Source organism: Homo sapiens, chromosome 8 (genome assembly GCF_000001405.40).
Source record: "Homo sapiens chromosome 8, GRCh38.p14 Primary Assembly".
In the NCBI taxonomy this organism is placed as follows: Eukaryota; Metazoa; Chordata; class Mammalia; order Primates; family Hominidae; genus Homo; species Homo sapiens.
The window spans coordinates 92,716,725-92,740,863 of NC_000008.11; the positions used below are offsets into that span (position 1 = coordinate 92,716,725).

Below are 24,139 nucleotides of genomic sequence, written 5' to 3' on the forward strand. Positions count from 1 at the left end.
ATTTGGCACTGGTAGTTACCCCCTACTTGATTTCAAGTTCTTGTTTTTCATCATTCCACATATTTTTCCCACTTCCTGAAATTTCATTCTATAAAATGTTTTGTACTTTTATTCTTACTCCTAAAGAAATCGTCAGTTTGTTATGCTCCAACTACTACCACTAGTCAAACAATTCCTAAATCTACACTCCAGCCTTGATTGCTTAACATCTTTTCAATCTTATATTTCAACCCCCTATTGATGCTACTTAACATGTGAAGCAATGAAATCATTATTTTCTTGTACAAATGTTTATCGTATATTGTACTTATTTCTTTTTTGCCCCTATTCTTGCCTGATAAATTTATTTTGATACCTTTATTTTTTCAAATTCATCAAGTCTTATAGGCTAGTTCTTTAACTACCTACCACATCACTTAAGTTGAATCTTTCTTCGTCTCCATTTCTACAGCAACCACTCTAGATCACACCAAATTATTACACATTTTAGTTTCTATATGCTCTCATTCGTAGCATAATTTCTCATACTAATCAGCATTCAGAAACTGCTAATTAAATTTTTCTTTATATACACTTACCTCTCCTCCAATACAATCAACATATATTCTCCAGTGTATGTTTTCTCAGATGCAAGTTAAACCAAATCAGCTCATATGATTGTATTAAATTTACATTGCCATTTTAGTGTAGTCTCAACACTTAAGTTCCTTTGTGGATGGCTCTTCCCCTTCAGTAGAACTGGCCTCAACAATTCTTACATATGCTGCTACCTACTACCTCCAGTCATGGTACATTCCCTGGAATGATGGTTCCTTCTGTGTCCCTCACTCAGGATGACTGTTTTACCAAAGCTATTCTCAACATTTACTCATTCTAAACATCCTAGTCTGAACATGTATAATCCAAGATCACCACGTTTTAGGTTTATCTTTTCTCTGAGCATGATTATAACATTCCAAATATTCTCTCTATGAAGAAGAACCCTTCTAAATTGCAAACTCCATGGGCAAGTAGTGTGTTTTCTCCACACATTTTAAACCTTATGATATTAAGTGTAGTGATGTGCACCCAACAAATGTTAATTGGTAGAGGAGCTATAGAATTAGGCAACAATAAATTCCATATAATGAGTCATTAAGAAAATCCCACAGTCTTTCCCCCTATAATCTGCTTCCCCACCCCCACATACTCCCTTTAATAAAAAAAGCTCAATTATTAATGTAAAATAAATGAACAGAGCTAGGAAAGAAGAAATACTAAAAATCTGTCTTCATTCTGAAGCCCGCCCAAGCTGAGCAATGGAGAGGTGACACTCTGCCTCAGCCAGCATATCTTCAATTTCTCCCCACTCCAGCTCCCATTATCTCTCCACTGCCACAGCTGCATACTGCTATTGTCAGTGGTAAAGATGAGACATCTCTAATTAGAGGGCAGGGTAAATTGCTTTTATCTACTTTTAACATGCTTTTACATGGCACCTGGTACACAAGCATCAGCTAGGCAGCCATAATTTGAAAAGCAAATGAATGCTCAGAGAAATACGATACATTTTTAAAAGAAAATTAAATATATAGAGTAGCAAAATCAACATGCTGGAGACTGCAGAGTTTAACGCTGTCAGAGTCTTGTGCACTTATGTATTATAGGAAATTAAAATAAGCAGAGTCCACGTACCCTGTAGAGTCTGGTGGTCCTGTCTTTCTTTCTTTGTTGGGAACAAATGGTGAGATTTAATGTCTAGAAAAATTATCAGCGCAAGAAACAGACTGGCGGTAACCCCTTGACCATCTCCATCTAGAAGAGTAGATTTTTAGGTGAAAGAAAAAAAATTAGTAGAATTCTTTCTCTGACTTACATATATCTAACCATCTTTATAATGAATAAATCTATTATGTATGAGTTTTTGTTTCTGGTTTTGGATTTAATTTTTATTTCTTTAGTAGTCCAAAGCATTTTCAAAAATGAAGCAATTTATTAAGTGCTTGAAAAATAAAACAAAGAGAAATCAACCACAGTTAGATCCATATTGTGTTGGACAGCATTATCATTCAATAAAAATATCTGACATTTACTGTGGCTTGGAATACAGATTCCACAGTTAGGAGAGCCACGGGCTCATACGCAAACTCCACAGGCTCCTCTCCCTCTGATCATTATCAGCAAAAATGTATTAATTGTCTTCCTACAACAGTGTCTGTCACAGGAGGACACATGGCCTTCACTCTGTGCCATGATCACAGCTCTTCCTCATGCATAGGTTCTCTTACTTCTGTAGGAACTATGGTATTATTGCTCTCCAAACTTTGTTTACTTACTTTCCTGGAGATTGCCCGCCTACTGGCTGTAACTTTCCGGCTGTAAGAACTGGAAGCTCTAAATAATAACAGGGCTATACTGTTTATTTATTGCTGCTTTGGAACAGAAAGCCAACTGAAGTTCTTTAGTGTAGTGGGTAAGAAGGACTTTCAGCTAAGAAAAGCTGGCACTGTAAACACAGTGGTTCTGGCAGGGGAAGTGCCTGATTAGGGATCTCTAGTTTCCTCAATTCCCATATGCAGGCATCTATATGCATTTAGAGCTTGTGAATTTTTTCTATTTTCGATATACCATGAATGAGAGGGTATAATTTAAAGGGCTAAAGCAAGAGGCATGTTTTAGAAGTATCTCTAATTTAAATATTTGAGCCATATGCAAGATTAGAACATGTGCTTCACTGCATTAAACACTACTTAGAATGTACTGATTCCTATTTTAGTCTTTGTAGTAGTCATTAGCATGGTTGGTGAAATAGTTCTCTGCCTTCCTTGTACATGATAGGGTTGTACATTCTGGCCCTCTTCTGCTTAGGTGTGTCCATGTGACTATTTCTGATGAATGATTCATAAGTAGAAATGATGTTCAATGGCTAATGGGAAAACTTCCAGATCCCTCTACCCACCCTACCCTCTAGCCAACCAATAATGTTCAAAACTGGGGGTGATCCATCAGCTTAGATCCTGAAGTGAAATCAAGGAAGAACCTAGAACCCAGTGAAGAACCCAGAACTCACATATGTTGGTCATGTAGCAGGAGCAAGAAATAAAGTTCGTTTTGAGGTTTTTGTGCTTTTTGTTATTGCAGCATACTCTAGCACATCTTGATTACTACACCACTGTTAATCATTTCAGTCTTAGCATAGATGTCCAAATTTCTCTTTTTAGCTACCACACTTTGATCACAGTACTTAACCATTCAAATTGCACTTACATTGTCTCTCCCATTTATTAGTTTACAATTATCTTGAGAATACAGATGTCTCACTTATCTTTACATTTTCAATTTTTAGTACATTGTCCCTATATCATAGACACTCAATACTGTTTAATTGAATGGACTTTAATTTGTGCAATGTCAACATTTCAGCTCTGTGCTCAAATGGCAGGTGAGCTACAGTGACAATTAATCTTAAGCAACATTATTTGGATATGTGCCTCTCTTAAAGTTAAACAAGGGAAAAATAATAAAGTTAGTCTGATGTGGTAGAGAAATATATTAAATTTAGGAGGTTTGAGTTAGACTTCTGATTCTGGCTGTATGATATTTAATAATTTATTTTGGCAAATATTTATTAGTTGTCCACTTACCATATGCCAGTGTTCCCGGCCCTGATAATAGTAAGAGTTCTCGTGGAATTAACAGGGTCATGGCAAGTCACATAATGAGTTAATTTTTATCCTCTTTAATAAATTAAAGACAATAACATATACTTATGTTTGTTGTGTTGTTTGAAGGAAATAATATATGTATATGACTTTTGTAAATTTCAAAGCATTTCAAAAATGTGAACCTAAGGTACTTTTATTTTAAAATTTTTGAATAATACATTTTGCCAGTAATTATCTGCATGGATGCTTAATAGTTCAGTATTCTAGATATTATAATAGATGACTCATTTCTTATGACAAGTTGAGATCCATAAAGAAAACAACTTTCAAACTATTCAGCAATCATTATGAAATTTTATATCAGTGTTTTAGCTTGGAGGAGGGTGTGTGTGCTAAAAAAAAAACAACAGCAATAAATCCACTTTTCATTTGGCAGAATGCAAGTTCTAATTTCTAATTTCAGTAAAGACAACTGTTTCCTAGAAAATAACACTGATTTACTTGTACATCTAATACAGAGCAATAATTGGGAGTGGCTAATATATAGGAAGAACAAAGACAATGATTGTGCCTACCAGGTGATAGAAACAGGATATTGCAACCCTTGTTCATAAAATGATTTATCCAAATGTTTTTGATCCATTCAAAGAAGAAATACTCTACGATTTTTTAATATATAGAAAAAGTATATAGGATATATATATATTTAAAAATAAACATGTGCTAAATGAGCCAGAGTTATGTGTGTGTATACCTACCCAAAAACTACCTGAAATTTTATGCACAGCAGATTTAAACCCTAAATGATGATCGCTTTCATAATATCTCAGTTGTAGTGTTGAAAAAAATCAGAGATGACACAAACAAATGGAAAAACATTCCATGCTCATTGACAGAAAAAAATCAATATGTTAAAATGGCCACACTACCCAAAGCAATTTACAGATTCAATGCTTTTCCTATCAAACTGCTAATGACATTTTTCACTGAATTAGAAAACAACTATTCTAAAATTCATATGAAACCACTAAAAGGGCTCAAATCACCAAAGCAATTCTAAGCAAAAAGAACAAAGCTGGAGTCATCACACTATCTGGCTTCAGATTATACTACAAGGCTACAGTAACCAAAATGGCATGGTACTGGTACAAAAACAAACACATAGACCAATGGACTAGGTTAGAGAACCCAGGAAAAAAGCTTCATATTTACAACCATCTGATCTTTGACAAAGTTGACAATAGCAAGGAATGGAAAAAGGACTCTCTATTTAATAAAATAGTTTTGGAATTACTGGTTAGCCATATGCAGAAGATTGAACATGGACCTCTTCCTTTCACCATGTACAAAAGCCAACTCAAAATGATTTAAAGACTTAAATGTATGACCTAAAACTATTAAAATCCTAGAAGAAAACCTAAGAAATACCATTCTAGACATAGGCCTTGGCAAATATTTCATGATGAAATATCCAAAAGCAACTGCAACAAAAACAAAATAGACAAATGGCACCTAATTAAATTAAAGAGCTTCTGCACAGTAAAATAAACATCATCAACAGAATAAACAGACAACCTACAGAATGGGAGAAAATATTCACAAACTATGCATCTGACAAAGGTCTAGTATTCAGAATCTATAAGGAATTTAGACAAATCAACAAGCAAAAAACCACCCCATTTAAAAATGGACAAAGGACATGAACAGACACTTCTCAAAAAAAGACACACACGTGGCCAACAAACAAGAAAAATGCTCAACACCACTAACTCATTAGAGAAATGTAAATCAAAACCACTGTGAGATACCATCTTATACCAGTTTGAATGGCTATTATAAACAAATCAAAATATAACTGATGTTGGCAAGGTTGTGAAGAAAAGAGAATGCTTATACACTTCTAGTGGGAAGGTAAATTTGTTCAGCCACTGTCGAAATCAGCTTGAAGGCTTTTCAAAGAACTTAAAAAACAGGACTACCATTTGACCCAGCTATCCCATTACTGGATATATACCCAAAGGAATATAAATCATTCTACCATAAAGATACATGGGCATGCATGCATATGTTCATTGTAGCACTGTTCACAATAGCAAAATCATGAACTCAACCTAGATGTCCATCAATTGTGAACTGGATAAAGAAAATGTGATACATATATACCATGGAATACAATGTAGCCATTAAAAAATTAAATTATGTCCTTTGCAGCAACATTGATGCAGCTGGAGGTCATTATCGTAAGCCAACCACCTGAGGATCAGAAAACCAAATATTGCATGTTCTTACTTAAAAATGGGAGCTAAACATTAAATACACATGGACGCAAAAAGGGAAAGAGCAAATACAGGGACCTACTTGAGGAGGGAGGCTAGGAGGAGAGTGAAGGTCAAAAAACTACCTATTGGGTAACATGCTCACTAATTAAGTAACAGAATCATTTGTACACCAAACTCCAGTGACACGCAATTTAACCATGTAACAAACTTGCCCATGTACCCCCGAACATAAAATAACAGTTGAAATAAAAAATAATAATAATTTCTTAGTGGCAGAAATGGGACTATCTCACAAACTAGAGTAAAATTTGTACACTTTTTGATATACAAGATACATCAATTTATTTATTGTTTAAAAAAATGTCATCAATAATTATCTTCCACTTGCATTCATTTATTTATTCATTCATTTATTCTTTTAAAGAAATATTGATTTGAGCACCCATTCTGTTCTAGAGGCTGTGCTGGTCCCTGTAAATATGAAGGTGAATTTCATTTAGTTTCTGCCTTCAAAGAGTTCACGATGTCTTCCAAATGCTTGCAAATACAAAGAAATGTATTAGGATGAACCACATGAAATTGCCTGATAAAATCCAAAAAACTGTAAGATGAAGGCATTGCTCTAAACAAGCCTAAAATCTATTTGGATACAAATGAAACAAGTAGGTAAGTATGTCTTCTCTATACTTTTTAAACCTTATTACAAGTAATATATTGACTACAACCGAATAAACCAGAAATATTTTCTGAGCTTATCTTATACATAGACCTAAAGAGCAAGATCAACCTGTGAATGAGTATAAAATGTCCTCTGAAAGGAATAGATGTCTCATCCATGTAAATTCAAATGAAAATTTTGGAAAAAATGGCCTTATATTGGGATTTTAAAACATCTTTGCTTTCTCTGGGAGAGGGAGTCAGCAGTAAAGCTTAGCTTAAACTTTATATAAAGAATAAACTGCTATTGTTCTGGTGGTGACACCAACATCATGAAGTGACTGCCCTTGGGCATGTGGAGGTTTGTCTGGGTCTAGCAAGGGAGCTAGGCAGGGCAGAGACCATTACAAGATTCCAGGGCAAGTGTGGGACAATTGTGGTTGTCTTCCATTTTATTCTCTCTTGATGTGTAGCAACCTTATGGATGAAATAGATCTAATACCTGCTTAGCTCTCAGAGAGAGTCTTAATTGGCCTAAACTCTAAGAGTGGTCTTCTTTTGCCAAAATTATTGGTTCAGAAATGGGCTTGTGAGCTAGGCCTAAACCAATCAGTCATACTATTTTTCTAGTTGTATGGTCTGGTTCAGGGGAGGGCATTTCATTCAAATTGCTCTAATTATAGAGAAGCACAGGATTTCTGTTTGGCAGAGAAAGAGAAGATATCTATCTATCCTTGGATGTGAACCAGGAAGTGCATGTCTCTGGAATCTGCTGGCAGACATCTTGTGATGAGAGGAGCCATTTTGAGAGTATGGAGAACATATAGAGAAGATTAGAGGCAAGAGAATGACAAAAAAATAGAACCAAAGACCAAAGACACTGTGAGCTCTGTATTTTCTTCCACGAAGCTCAAACGTTCAATAAAGTCTTGTAAAGGCAGTAGTATTATGGGTGAATTAGCGACAGACCTAATCAGGTCTGGGAGAGGATAATATCCTGAGCCCCACAGCCACTGTCAGCAGCAAAGTGTAACTATGTGCAGCAGGAGTGTCACTAGCTACAGAGAGAGCTACCTGACAAGGCAGGTGGAATGGAAGAAGCAGAGGGACTACACCCAGCAACAAGGACTGAAGCATGATAGAAAGTTCCAGAAATATCTGGATGACACTTAGAAAAGAAAAAAAAAATAGGGTGACAAGGTTTGTGGGATGTTTGTCATCATAAATCGAGTTACTCAAGATACTATTACAGAGAACATACTTTTCAATCCATTCTCAGGTGTGCAATGATATGGAATATGTGTATTTCCTGTAGTGCAATCTAATCTGTGTCTTTTCTTCCTGGACAAAATCTTAATGTAGTCAACTCCAGATTTTCTCATTTTTTTTTAAGTCACTTAAGGATTCTTCCTTCTTTTCTAAACCTTTCCTCCCTAGGTATTAGATCCTCTTTATGATATTTTTTAATTTGCAATACTTTATGGTACTTTTCTTTAAGATTATTTTATATTAAGCAACTGTTTTATACAGCATTACAGAGTAAGAAACAGAGAGATTGTGGTTTGGGGTGCATTGAGATCCTTGGGTGTGACCATCCCTCCCATTTGGATTCTGGGGACTTGACTGCCTTTTGAAAGCCTCCACTCATTGGTACCCACATGGTCCCCTTGGTTATGGCACCAAGGCCCAAGAGACTACCTTTCAGCTTCTTTCCTGCTTTCTAAGCTTTTTTCTCTTCTCTGCTTCTCTGATACTCCTTCCTTTCCAAGTCCAGAGAGAATTAGCTTTTAGTTTTATTTCTGTCTTCCCTCTATGGCATAGGAAAGATAAAACTGATTATAAAAGAATTTTTCCCCAAATCCATGACTTACACAACAATATGGGCTTTGTGTCTTCAAAAGACAACAATAAACTTCATTTGTTTTCCTTTGCATTTGGATGCACCTCACCTCTATATAGTGCTAGAGTCCAAGGTCTAGTTTGAGAGAGGAAGAGAGAGAAAGAGAGAGACAGAGAGAATATGTTGGGGTGGGGTAAACAAAAGGATTACAGGGATTAATAAACATCTTTGGTAGATATTATACCACCACAGTCTATATAGTGGTGGTATAATATTTACACAATGCACAGCAATACTAAACTGTGTGGCACAGGGATAAATGGTCTAGAATGTCACAGAGAAGGAATAATTTAGTGAGAGTCAGGAAATTAGGAAAGTTTTCCTAGAAGACCTAGGAACTCAGAGAAATTACAATAGACAAATCTAAGGATGGGAAATTCTAAGTTAAATAGAGAATAACAGAAGCAAAAACAAAGATGAGGGAATAAATGTGCCCTTGGAAAAGTGAGAAAGTTCACAGAAGTCTCCTGATGATATTTCATGGAGTATGGAGAAAATTAAGACAGTATATTCATGTTTGAGACGGATTCTTAAAGATTCTGAAAATGAGTCACATTGTTCTAGATTTGATGAGGCAGAAAATAAGAATGTATTTGAGAGTGTCACAATATAACAAAAGATGTTTTTAAAGAATGGGTACTTGTTGTCTAGGGGCCATTCTCATCATAGACCTGTCCTTCCATGACTACATCATTTTTTAAAAAATAATTAAGCAAGGGGTTAATTATTGGCAAGTGTGGACAAGTTACCCAAGCCTTTTTAACATATGTAATTCTGTCCAATATCTGGACAGTAAAAAGCATGAACTTGATGCCAGTGTTTTGAAGCAATATTTTATCATTATAATTAGACTCTGACTCCCATTCTGTTGGTTCTCCAATGGCCAAAAGTTATGTGTTCCTCAAAACCTTTCTGTGGTCGGCTCAGCCAATTTATATAATAGGTTACTACATGCAGCCAAACCTATACAACCATAAATGTCTGTCCTTCTGGAAGGCTGAGGTATTCATGTTCTTAATCGGTGGCTTTTAGACACAAAATCATTACTCACTAATTACTTTTGTTTTAAAAATTAACACTAAATTTTTAAAGATATAAACTCATAAACCTAGTTCTTTCTTGATCTGATTTCAATTTACATAAAATTTTATTGTATTTTAACATTACTATTAAGAGGGCTCTTAAAACATGAGTTATTCATCTTATTTAAACGTTTTGAGCTGCCTTTATAAATTTAGATTTTCATTTCTTTTGTATTTTACCTTTCCTGATTACATAAAATTTGCTGAGTAATCAAATAACATTTGTAGGAATACATGTTAAGTTTGTGGGTATGGTAAATCGTAATTTATCTTAAATATTACAGTACAGTCTGATGCATCAAAGTCTCAACTTTCCACTAAAAACACAAGTTAATGAAATAAGTTTGATTTGGTTCATCATTTCTCCATTTAACTCTATATTTTTTTAGGGTTAAAAAATCCTCTCAGGAAACTAATTACACAATTTCAAATAATTTGAGTTTCCCTTTCTAGGCAAGTTCTTAGAATTGCCTTCTCAGTCAGCTGGAGTTGCGCATCAACCAGAGATTATGGCCCGTGTAAAGCCAGAACTGCAGACGTCTGGGGACATTGTCCACAAAACTGGGAGAGGCAGACAGAGCAACAGATGAAATGGTCTCTGCTTTTGTGTCCACAGTAAAGTTACAGTTCACTAAATTCTTCATTTCACTTAAGGAGTTGGTAAATCATTTTAAAATTTTAGCTAACTTCCTTCATATTGCAGTTTAACTTTTAAAAATTTCCTTGGGTCTTTTAAGATATTAAGTGACATCTGATTGGTTTTAGCATTTTCCTTTTACTTTTCTGGCTCCATATCATACTTTTGAGGATCATTTTAGCATTCAAATGACAATAACAAATGGTGAATGTTGTCTAAGCAAAGTATAAGAGAAAAATTTGCCCTCGTTTATAATCCTCTAATATACCTGTAAGTCCATGATACATACATTATGCTCTGTTGAAATTCAATGCATCTTGAGGTTACTATGGTGAACCAAACACAGTTCTGGACATTAAGGATTGAAGTCAAATAAAGAAAATAGACAAGCAAAGAAAAACTTGCAAAGCCAAGTGTAACTGCTGGCTCTAAACCTACTGGGAAAGGAGACCGAATCTTCTCTTGGAATTATCAACAAATTGTCTACAGAGGAAACACTTTAGATTGCTGCATTAACTCTTCACATCATTTTAATGTTTTCCACTAGGATAATGCTGAACAGAAGTCCCCAGAGGGCAGTCCTGGAATAGAAGCATCATCCCCGTCACCTGTGAACTTGCTAGAAATACCAACTTACCACTTTAGATCTACTGAGACAGAACTCCAGAAGGAGGCCCTGCAATCTGGGTTTTGTAAGTCCTCCAGGCGATTCTGATGCCCGTTAAGTTTAAGAACCACTGTATTAGAATAATACCAAGCTAGGTAAGGTTGATCTCAACTTATGTGCATGTTAAAAAAATGATTATGTTCCAAAGTAAGGTTATACGTGGGATGTAAACACTGAAGATTTAGCTACAAACTTATGTAGATGACTACTGATTCCTCAGCAAAGACCACAAATTCTGGTTTTGGATACTGAAATGCAGTATGCACTCTCTCAAATGATCGCTGATCAAATATTGCATTTAAGCATCCTTAGTGATTCTGAACCTGGATGACCTGTTGCAGGACTATCAGCAAAAAGATAAAAAACTATTGAACAAAGACCTTTGAATTATGCTCTTTAGAGCAAGTTTAGTTCTTAAAAGTACAGAGTGAACAGTAAAGCAGAAAAGCTACTAGTTTACTAGACCTTTTTCTATTGACGAAACAATAAATAGAGTTAAGAACAGCAGGTTTTCCACAAGACAGTAATTCTTTTAGTGTAAAATCACTGTGGGCTAATCCTGCATTAAATCACTAAGATGTGCTGCATGAATAAAAACATCAAAGGAACTCAAAGGACACATACAAAAAAAATATGAAATTATGAACTCAACACCTTCTGATATATTTAACAGATTCCAAGTCCGTCACAATCAAGATCTTTAATACAGAATGCTCCCTCTTTCCTCATTCACCCTCAGTGAATCAAGTCACAATAGTTCTAAGATTAAGCATAAGAACTCAGGTTAGATGAAAGAAATAGCTTCCCTCCCACTCTTCCAGTCCCAGATCTAAGATGGTTACTTAAAGCCCCAATTATTTGCCCAAATAATTATCAAGCCTTATAAATAAGACAGGAATTTGGCAATCAGTTAGTACCTCTTAAGTCTAGATTTATTCAGTGTGGTGAAAAAACTATTCAGAAATTTAGAGAGAAAATTATAAGAATCCTACTTTGGCATAATGGATTAACCAAAATACAATTTTCAAAGATCATTTATGATTAGTAATAATCCTAAAAGAGTGAGTTTGGGTTTTAAGGCTAATTCCCCTCCTTACCAAAACATCTTGAGGTTTATGGATTAAGACAATGTGATTCTGATCACAATTAAAAAGTATCTTTATTTGAAACCTCCAAATATCCACTTATACATCAATCACCTGTATGATTGATTAGATCTCCTAGTCAAATAAATAGGCAGGCAAGGCTCTAATGTAAAAATAGGCTGCCAGTTGACATATTAGCAAATATCTTGGAAATACAATAAATAAATAAATAAAATGGGCCATGGTGGAAAGACAGAGGTACTGCTGTGCAAATTGAGGACAAGACCATCTCTGGGTTCAGTATCAACAATGACAAATGGAAGAAAGTCATTTTCACTCTGTTTCTATAGGCAATTTTACTATGGCACTGATTAGACGGGATTATTTTAAGGTGTGAAAAAATGTAAGGTGTTAAATAATATTTACTAAAGTTTAGAATCTGGCATGTGTTTTGTGTTTCATTGGGAAATGGGGGACAAGTTGCTTGATTTAGTGAGCAGACATTAGGTTGTCTTTTATGTACAGGCTAGGTCAGGAGGATAAGAAAAGATTAAGTATTGTTTCAACCTTGAAAGCAGAAAGTAGAAGACATTATAAACCTTGCTTATAAACCTTAATTAGACTGCAGCTGAAACTGTTTTCCAAGCTGTAGTTCATAGACAAACCTAAGAGTTCAGAGGAGATCTTTATCAGCAAACAGGAATCTCACTTCTATATTGTGAATTCATCTTCATACATTCCATCTTCCCAAAAATATAGTAGATAAATGTAACACATATTAACATCCAACATAAGGCATCCACACTAGATTCTAATATGCACCATAGAAACCAAAGAAGTTAGTCTATAACAATATACAGTATATTTATTTAAGGTATAGTGCCCAATACATGGGAATGAATTAGCTCCACAATGAACGGTACATAATGAAACTTGCTGTTACTCCTATAGTGATATTTTAATAAACAACATAAGGGGTAGACATCCAAACTAAAATATTTTACATGAAAAAGTTCTTAAATGACATCTTATTCAAACCTATTTGGAGCTAGATGAAAAATATGCCAGAGTTATTCAAATACCTCTGTCATATGGAATTATTTCCCAGAGAAAGTCACCACTCCCAAAGTACTACACTCCTTTGCCAGTCAATCCTTTTTCTGGAATGTCAAGGCTATTTTAAATCTTGCCGCACCCTAAATAATGGATCTCTGTAGCTTGCACCAGCTAATTCCCAGTGCAGCCGGAGCTCCCAGCTCTTCACATCCATAAGCTGAAAATTAACAGCAATTTTTCATTATGACACTGGGACTCCAACTGTGAGCGTTAAGTGTTTCAGAAAAAATAGAGCATGATATGATTTCCGTACATCTATATATTTTTTGAGGTTGCAAGAAAGCACAGCATTTTTCAGACCCACTTATGTAAATACAATGATACTCTAATAGAGAGGGAATTATCATTATATTTCATTTTAAATGTTTAAAAAAGAAAAACCTCATGGCACAAATTTGAACTAGCACATTGTTTTCTTGATTTACTGGGTTTGAAGAGATACTGAATGAATAGCCCTCTCTCATGCAATATTTCATGTACTTTCTATAGGTCTGTGAAATTTCTATAATGCAGCAAAATAAGCCTTGCCTCAGGTTTAATGTCTTCTGTTTATTAGCAGAATACTGTGCACCTGCTCAAGACACCTGCACATTTTAACTTAGCATTTTAAACTAAATCCAATCAACTCTGCATTAGCACACTGACTCACCATCTAGTACATTAAGGATTTAAGGTTCAATTCATAAATTGCTTAGCAAGATGGATGTCTCCTCTCCCCTGTCTCTCTTGTTGCTCCTCCAGTCCCACCACCCCATGTGGAGGATTATCTATCACCGTAGAACAGTAGCTTTATCCTGACTGTCAAGTGGCATTAGTAGGTTATTTAACTCTTAGGAGGCAAATCCATAAGACTCAAGGTCTGTTGTTCATGAGACAAACAGGAATTTTATTTGTGATTATAAATAGGCATATTTTCAAAAGGAAATGTCCATCAATCATGAGAACATGAACCTTGTGCATGACAATTTTTCTTTTTACTTGTAACAGCAGCTGCCAGTCTGTTTCCTATAGGTGGCAGGAAAAAACTGGAAGCCCTTTCTTTTTCTTCCTTCTAGGTTTGGCTTTATTGTTCTTGTATAATTCCCCAAACTATGTGCATTTATTTTTCAAGTAAAACATAACACATTGATAAAATATTTTATTTCTTATATTTAAATATATTCTCTCACTTCTTTCCCTACATCTGCGACCACTCATCCTTGGTTTCATTAACTAGCTTCTGCTTTTCAGCCTACCTCTTGCGTTTATCCATTCAGCAACTTGTTTTTGAGTTCTTAGTATCTTTACAGCACCTTCGTAGGTGCTGGTAAACAGCATTTAAAAAACAGAAGATGTTTCTTGTTCTCATATAACTTACATCTTCATAGTAGGAAAGGATGGAAGCAGACAATAAATGAGTGAATAAACAGATAAATAAAAACAAGATGTGACTCATCATAAGGGTAAGTGATATGAAATAAACAAACAGGATAATGAGATAGGAAGAAACAGTCAAGCGAATATCCTCATTTCTTTTTAAAATTCAGTTCAATTAATTTGTATTTTATTTTACACACTAACTCTGAGCCAGTCCTGTTTGATAATGGGACTACAAAGGTGGGTAAGTTTCACTTATACCTTAGCAGAACTCACATTCCATCAGAAAGAGAAAGACCTAAACAATCACAACAGACTGGCAAGTACTATAATAAACTTCCTATGATCAATAGAATAGGGAAATATTCTGATGTTACCCAAGGGTGTGAAGAAGACTTTTGCGAGCAAAGGATAACCGAGTGGACTGTTGAAGAAACAATAAAAATTAATTCAAATGGTTACAAAGTTAAAGAGCATTGCTGGTAGACATGCAAAAGCATAGAAGTTTAGGCAATTATGTACATTTAGAGATATGTATTTATTATTATTAAGGAGTACGAATGTTTGTGTGCTAGGTTTAAGTGTTTGGACTTCATCCAGAGGGCAGTAAGAAACTATTGAAACATTCTTTAGAAAGTAGAGATAAGATCGGGTTTGGGCTTTAGAGATATCCTTTGAACAACGTGAAAGTAGACATCATTCCAGGGTTTGGTTAGGGGGCTGGTAAAGACAGAGAAACCAATTAGGAAATGCTACAGTAAGTGCAAGCAAGATTGACAAGGGCCTGAACTAACATATTGGAGGCACTCAATAATACATACATATGAGTGTGTGTGTATGTGAGTGTGTGTGCGTGCATAAAGAGTAACGAATGAGTGCCTGAATTAAAGGAGGGCCAGATAGGAGATTGGGGAATGAAAAGGCTTATTGATTTAATGTTGGCTTGTTCTAATGAAATATAATGTGAATCAGAGCATTAAGCAGAAAAACTCATGGGTGGAATGTGCTTATGTCCCAATCAAGGTGTTCTAGGGCAGTTGTTCTCAACTCAGGGTGTTTTGCCATCCAAGGAACATCTGCACATCCATGGAAACATTTTTGTTTTTCACAACCTGAGGGAGGTACTGCTGGCATCTAGTGGGTAGAGATGCTGCTGAACATCCTACAATGCACAGGACCACAGCTGCAACAAAGAATAATCCAGACCACACAGGAGTGGCAAAGTTGAGAAACCATGCTCTCGAAGAATGATCTCAGTAGCAGTAGGTGTGAGTAAGCTTACTTAGTACAAATCCTCAGGAACAGAAACCACTGTATTGAGGATAATGTCTAGGAGATGAAGCCCAGCTCAACGATTTGAAAAGGCTTTCACTCCAGGTCCACAAGCTTTATCTGAGTCAGTCAAGTAAGCAGTCTGCTTTCTTCATCTTGCTTTTCTTTTCTACACCTTTAGAAAAAAATCACAGCTAAAGGATATATTTGTAGGATATATCTCCTTGTTGATATTTACTTCTTTGTAATAGGCACGCATATTGCTGTTGGTCATGATGTAATGCAGGAATTTTCTAATCACTTTGAGAAAGAAAAGTGGCAACATATTACATTCTTGATAGATTAATACACACAGGTTTCAAAACCTGTTTTAATAATACAGTGTAATCAATTACCAGTGTGAGAGAGGATCAATAGCAGAATTGGATTATCTGAGAAGCTTGGTCTCAATTAATGATAATAATAATGTCTAATATTTATTGAGTGCTTACTAGCCATAACCCTTCTATGAGTTTACATGTGCTCCCTTAGTCCTTAAAAATACCTATGAGGAGGGTAGTATAACTGTTTGCATTTTACAAATGAGAAAACCAAGACACAGGTGGCTCATAAACTTTTCAAATTCCACAACTAGCATGTTGGAGCCAGTACTCACACTCACGTCTCTGACTATAGAGCCACACTGATACTCACTGCTTTGCTGTTTCCGGAATTACTTGCTCTAATTATTACAAAGTCACACTGTTTTCTAAGTGGACCAACAAAAGAAAAATCTAATCATTCTTGGAAATGTAATAGTAACAGATACACAGTGGTATCACCATGTTTCCTTAAGGGGATCTGTCAAAGAACTCAAATATATTAAGTGGAGTTAAGGTGAAATGTTTGTCATTCGTCCCCAGATTATGAACACTTGTAGAGATTTTCAGTTGTTCTTAAATTCCTGTGACTACTACTCCTTATTTCAACTGATTGGGAAAATTCTTGGTGATCAGAAAACTTGGAGTAAGAGAAAAGTGGAAATGGTTTCTTGAAAACTGAAAAGCAGCATTGCCCCCATGTAAGTATTGTGAAGCATCTGTGTTTTGAGTGGAAAACCTTTTTGAAAATAAAAATACATCTAGTGATGAAGAAAAATCCACATACGACTTAAGTCTTGTTGGAACCAAACACAGCTTTCAATAAGTAAATTTTGTATTGATCTATCTATATAAGTAAATACAGAAACAAAGTAGATAATACATTTATAAATTAGGTCCCCAAAGTACAAAACACTTGCAGCATTAATCTTGAAAATCATTTTTTTAAAAATTTCCAGTCAAGTGGTATGATTGTAATGGAATCTTGTCTCTTGTTTTTCTTTTTTAGGTTATTCTTCAATGGATTATTTCAAAAAAAGGAAGAAAAAATTAAGTGAATTCATAGCAACCTTTAAAAATGCATCCCCCCAAGAGATACAAAAAATTAATTTTCAAGAGAATATGAGCAATTTTAAAGTAATTTATAAAAATTTCAAGCACCTAGCATAGAGTCTTGCACTTAATAGACATTTATTGAATATTGAAGTTTTTGGAAAGTCTTCCCAAAGGTTTAAAGGAATAGACAGCTAGTGTCTAATTTGGCACAAACAAAATACATATAAGAAAGATGAAGGAGAACTCAAGAAATTTGTATGTTATTTGATGAATTTCCCTAAACATTAAATGGCAGATTTGAGGCCAGTGTCTATATGAGCAATTTGCACACATGTGTTATGACTTGAGGGTTGCACTTGATAATGACATTTCAAATAACACTTCATAAATTATAGTCACCCACATTATGTCACTTAGACCTCTAATGTTCTTATGAAGACATTAAGAGTATCTCTATTTCACAGACTCCAAAAGATTCAATATCCAACCTAATGCCCAAATGGCATTTGAACCTTGCTCCTGAGACAATTAAGCCAGTGTGTTTTGTTACCTAATAGTTTTTATACATTCCTTTAATCCTTTCTCATACTGGAATCTGTTTCACACTCTTATTTTTTCAAATGAGAAAACAGTCATTTTCGCCTTCATTTAGGCATTCTCCCACTCAAGTGTGGGAAGAAATCCAGAGTTTCATGAACACAAAGTGATTCAAATAACTTTCCAAAGTCTCCTCTCACCCTTTCCAAATTATTCTATGAGTGGTCCTTCTGGTTTTAACTATAATGAAAACCAGACTTTCAGATTTAGTATGATATCATCCAGAGATAGCTGTTATCAGTTTCAGAGCTTGTGGGTTTTCTTTAATCTCTTTCACTGGAGTGGAGGGTTGAGGCATCATTTGCTCTGTGCATCCTGGCTCTACTCCAAAGGCTTCCATTTTGGAGCCGGATCTCTGCACCAGTGCCAGGTCCAGTTGCTCAGCTCTGGCATTGCTACACTCAGCAGCATTTTATTTGAGTGAGTGAGGCCAGTCACTTTCTTAGCTAACTGGAAAAGAGCTTGCTGGTTTGGAGGACTGAATGGGTGCTGGTGTAAAATTATGGTGAATGCTTTTCTTCCCTTCCTGCACACAGAGCACATCATATATTCCCTCAGTACCCTATACCATAGGAAAGGGTGTCTGCACCTCTAAATGGAGGAAATTTTAATCCTTTAATAACTTTACCAGGACTAGGGAGCAATATCTTTTTTTTCTTTTTTGGTTTATTCTACCTGAGAATAGGAAAAACAGACAAAATTGCCCACAAAATATATGTGCATAGTAAAAATTATGACAAGAATACTCTCCAAGATAAACAAGCCACAGTTCCATTTCCTCTGAGAATCCAGCACTTGCTGTCATACATTGGTAACTCTGGCTTCCTACTTTGAATGATTCATGAATCAATGGCTTAAACTGTAACTGATTTAAGAAACTTAATGGCAAATTTCCACTACAGAAATTCAATGTGTTTGTTTAAAAATAAATTAAATTCCGAACCAAAGGATCCAGAAACTGTCCCATAGAGAAACCCTTTCTTTACCAAGCAGATGTTTAGATAACTTGTTTATTTTAAAGCCTGTCCTTCTTAGATTAAATTTGAATTCTCCTAGCTAGGGAATCTACATTATTAACTGTCAGCTAAAAATAATACAGAATAAGAAAATCACATGGAACCAGTCAAGGCAAAACAGAAACACAAAAGATGGTAATTCTCTTCAATTTCTCTCTTTTGGGGTAACAGAATTTGAAGCCAATAGTCACCATACGTGATAGTCACAATATGTTTTCTCCATTAAGTCTGATGATTTTATTTTTGGTACACAAGTCTTCCTAGGCTTTTCTAGTGCTTCCCCCCAAAGCAATAATTGGAATTACTCTATTTCATATAACAATGGGAAATGACTTAAGGAGGAATAGATGTTCACTTTACTAAACCTGTGCTCAGATTCTTCAGTTGTTAAATCAAGGAGATGAGCAGCTAGGGTCTTATGTTTAATGCCTGCTTATATGGTAGCTGAAATGCACATGCTATACTTCGTGCACTGTAAGATTAATTCATAGCTAACCTTGAAGAAGTACTAAGGCGTTAGAAAATCTATGATTTTAGATTCCTTGATTTGTGTATTATGGGCAAGCGGATTTTTTTTTTATTACTGGTATAGAAGGCTAAAACGAACCTTAAAGACTAATCATATTGTGATAGATTTACACTATGGAATGGTTAAATTTCAAGAAGACAGATTCTACAAATTTATGTGATCCAAAGCCAAGTCTCATCTCTCTACTCTTGAGCTCTGCTTGTACCTATTTCTAACTCAGTATTGACAGGATGAGTCTACAAACACTTCAGGATCTTTGATTCACAGAAGTTAAATATATTATCATATTATTTAAAGTCAAATTAGAACCATAAGAACCAAATGAAGGCTTTTCTATCAGGCTATCTCTAACTAGATATTTGACACTTTAAAAATATTTAACTAGTATTAACACTTTGGATCTTCAGAAAAAATTTATTAGAGATATTATTAAAATTATCTGGAGGCTAGATTAAATGGAGCACTGTTATCTATTTCATAAAAGTATTTTAAAGACCTTTAAAATACAGGTTGGGAAGAGTAAAAAAAATACATTGGTAAGTTACTTTTTTATCTTTTTGATGTGAAAGAAATTGAGAAGTGGAAAGTAAATACTTCATTTCAGTTTTATAAAGGAAAATCCTAGAAAATGTACTATAAAGAAAAAGTAAGGTTGTGTTTTCAATAACCTTCAGTAAACCTTTCAGACAATGTGAGGCTTGCCTCCTTTCTCCCAATTCATTTCAAGGACAGGTCAGCCATACACCCCAGCCACATGATGTTGGCACTCATCTTCAACCACACAATGGACTTCTATGGCTTCTCACCTTTATGGATGCTAATCTCTCTCACTAGATACTGCGCCCACCAGAGTCAACTCACCATACCCAACCCCAGGGTCCATCTGGTTCAGTAGGAAAAGCACAAACCAGCTGTTATTTTCTACATGAAGGCTACTCCAACTGCCCTGGGCAGAACTGTTTCCTGGATCCCCCTCTGAGCTACCAAGACAACTTGTTCTTAACAGCATGTACCTTTCTAATCCCATTGCCAAGCTATGACTTTTCAATGGCAATAGACCATGTTGAACTTAACTTTGTACCTTAATGACCTAGTGCAAATTCTTGGCACATATTTGATGCTTAACAAATGCATAAAATGTGAATGAATGAATGAATGAATGAATGAAAAAAACTCCAAGTACTTGGTTTTGCTTGAAGGTGTGTCCCAAGTTCTTTTGGCCTTCTAATTATTTGATCCATATGTGGGGAGTATAAACCATCTCAGAGGTTTCTGAAATGATATTAAATCTCAAAAATGTAAGATTTAAAGATTATCCAAGACTCAGAATGAGAAAAATATGTGGCATAGCTGTTCATCCTTAGTGACCTGAAGAATGTTGTTTAGAATTTCTTGTTTATTGGTGGTAGGAACGCATGAGTACAGGCTTTTGAAAAGCAGTTGGGTAAACTATGTATTTTATCCATCTGAAATACATAAACATTTTTATGAATAAAGTTTTCAATGCAGTGCTACTTTAAACTGAAAGTAAAATATATAAACAATTGTCCAACAACAGAAAGATAATTAATTAATTCAATAGAATATTATGGAGCTTTTATAATTTATAGGAAAGTACTAATAAAATGATATTATGGGAAAAGGAATATTTTGCATTCATGATCACCATTACTGTCTAACAATGTGTATAGAAAAATACTGATTAAAACAATAAAAAAGGAAGCCTTTTTTTTTACTTATCGAATCTCCCATGTTTTTTTCTTTGGAACAAATTTACATTCTTTCACTGTCAAACATAGATTTAAAAATTTATATGAAATAGTAAACTGTTTATATTATTAAACTGTTAATATTCAAAGTTTTTTTTAGATAGAGTTTAAAATATTACAGTTGGAATAGAAGTAATAAAACAGTGGTTTTCACACTTTTCTGAGGAAGTTCAGGAGTCCAAAAGTGTACCTGTTTGTGTATAGTGAGTAACATGCAATTCAATCAGAATAACTTTATTCTTATGTATTTTATTTACTGTGTTTCTATAAAATAGATTTTTTAAAATAAGAATTCGACCACTAAAGACAAGCTTGAGCAAAAACCCGTTTAAGATATAGAAAAAGAAACTGAGGTTTGGAAAAGCAAATTGACCCAGGGTTGTACATTGTTTTTTGTTTGTTTGTTTGTTTGTTTTTGAGACAGAGTCTCACTTAGTCGCCCAAGCTGGAGTGCAGTGGTGTGATCTCGGCTCACTGCAACCTCCACCTCTTGGGCTCGAGTGATTCTCCTGCCTCAGCCTCCTGAGTAGCTGGATTTACAGGCATGCACCACCATGCCTAGCTAATTTTTTGTATTTTTAGTAGAGATAGGGTTTCACCATGTTGTCCAGGCTGGTCTCAAACTCCTGGCCTCCAGTGATCCACCCACCTCGGCCTCCCATTGTACACTGATCTTAATGGAAGTACTATAGAAAGATTTTAGGACCCTTAATATTCCCAGTTCAACATTTTTTCTTTTACACCTAAAGATACGCTACTCCCTGAACTACTGCACCATCTGCCTCTATAAGTACATACTGCTTTGTGCTAGGGAAAAATAATCACATCAATTTAACCTAGAGTTTTAAATGTTATGTCAGGACCTGTATTCTTATTTAATTCACCTAAACCCATTCAGTATTCAGAAAGTTTCCTTCGGAAAAGTAAATTCGCCATTGAGTAAAGCCTAAAAAATTCTCCTCACCAAATTATCAAGCCCTCTCATACAGTGAAATGTGTATTTACAACTTTCTACAAATTGAGAAAGGGAAGAGAAAATTGAGGTTGGTTATATAAAATATCACTTATATAATCGAACTGCAACACAGTGAAATATTTCTGATACCAAGCTTTTTTAAAAATTGACTTTACTGAGGTATCATTTACATTCAATGAAATGCCTCTATTTGAATGGCATAGTCAAATGAGCTTTGGTAAAAGTAGACACCTGTGTAACTTTGCCACAATATAGACAGAGAACATCTGCATTCCCCTAAAATTTTCCTCATGCCTCTTTCCAGTCAACCTCATCCCACCCCAGACCTAAGGCACCATAGATATCCTTTTTGTTACCATGGATTTGTTTTGCCTTTTTAATAATTAGCTATTATTGAGGCAGCTGCCATGTTGTCCCAAAGGCATCAGTTTAATAGTATGTTATATAGATTGTACTATCATCATGAAAGCACAATTAGGCAATAGATGGCATTTGCTATTCAGTTATGAGCCACATAAAATGTTAGAAAGGTCTGAACACCAGTCCATCAGCCCGACAGTTATAGAACCGCCTGCAGGGAATGTGATCTCTGTCCTTAATATCAGAATGGGTTTGATCCAAACCTAGGCTCCTGATCTTTTCCCTAACCAGGATTTTACATGAAGTCTCACATTAGAGAGGACATCTTTTCTCTCTTTTAGTATGAAATGTATTTTAAAAGGTGACCCTGAGAAAAAAATATGACCCTGCTTAGAAAATAATAGCTGAGAGACTGTCCACATCATATCAGGAAAAGGAAATGAAAGATCAGATATGAAATGACTATGCTTCTCTCCCCACCTGTCATATTAAAATATTGCCAATTGGTACTCAAGATTTTCTCCTACTGCAGCAACTTAAAAATAATTTGGATATCAATTTTTTTGCTTACTGTTGTGTTGTGATTCTTTCCTCTGTTGTCACAAGTATGAATATCAGGTAATGGGCACCATTCATTTTTGTGCTTAGTAGTTTTCCTGGGGTGCCAGTGACAGGAGAAATGTATGCATTAAAACAAGCGTGATGAAAAGCAGCTCTCTTTATAATTTCAGCCCAGCTGCTGTATTGATGGATACAATCTCCACCACATGCTCCAGGTGGCTTCTAATGCCTGACTCCCTGCAGAAGCCTCTATTTGCACATCTTAAACCACTTATTGGATTTGAACAGGATTTTTCAGCCTGAGTGCAGTAACAGTGTTCACTTGTGTAATATTTGTAAATCCGGGCTTTACGTTTCACTCAAGAAACCGTCGTCAGAAGACATCCAACAGTCCCTTTGTGCCTCCCCGATTCTCTATTTTGGATTAGATTGTGTCCATTTTGTGTGACTAAAAAGTGTATTGATAAACATATTTTCATCGTGTTGGCATGCATAATAAAAAGCAATTCAATTAATGAGTCTTTTCCTTGAGTGGTGCTTTTCTTTGTCTCTCAGATTCATATAAAATTCATTTAAAGGCTTTGTATTCAAAGTTCAAAAAGGTTAACCTTTTTTTTCAGACTATGCATCTCAAAAGGTTCAGCTCAACTTGTCTTCTGTTGTTTAAATGTCTACTTACTACTGTATCAGTTGCTTTGAATTATTGTGCATAAGACCTTTGTTCAATGCTAACAACACTCTAGTATGACACCCTGTAGCCTGCACAATTCAAGCCTCTTATACTTAGGAATGAGAGTTGGTGATGACTAAAGCAAATGTCTTCTTTTGGTTTGAAATGTAACACAGTACAGCAATCTTCAGGCAGATATTTTTCTCTACTCTTTGTATGCAGGTAATACAAATTTCAAGAGTTCCTAACACAGCAGATATCTCTGCTCAAATAACTGAATTATGTAACATTTAAGAGACTTGATAATAGCTTAATTCACCAATTAGCAGAAACAACAAATGCCCGTGATTTACAGGCAAAGCTGGACATGTGATTATGGTGCTGAACCACAAGGAAACCTTATTTTTTAAGTGCAGGCCACTAACTAGAATTACCTGCCCACCAACATATTGGAAGGTATGAGCCACTGGTTTTATTTTAAGGATTCTTGTCTCTGAAAAGGTTGTGCTTCTTTCCTTTGGAGAAGTTCTTTTAATAGCACACACCATTGG

The 24,139-nt window shown here is 35.3% G+C and overlaps 1 long non-coding RNA gene across 1 annotated transcript in view; it reads right to left on the bottom strand.

The window, feature by feature from the left end:
• Positions 1 to 24,139, bottom strand: part of FLJ46284 (uncharacterized LOC441369) — a 73,099-nt gene that overhangs the window by 3,763 nt on the left and 45,197 nt on the right. Inside the window, exon 2 of the long non-coding RNA NR_046114.1 lies at positions 1,675 to 1,794. This is a non-coding gene — a long non-coding RNA (uncharacterized LOC441369). The remainder of the gene's footprint in view (positions 1 to 1,674; positions 1,795 to 24,139) is intronic.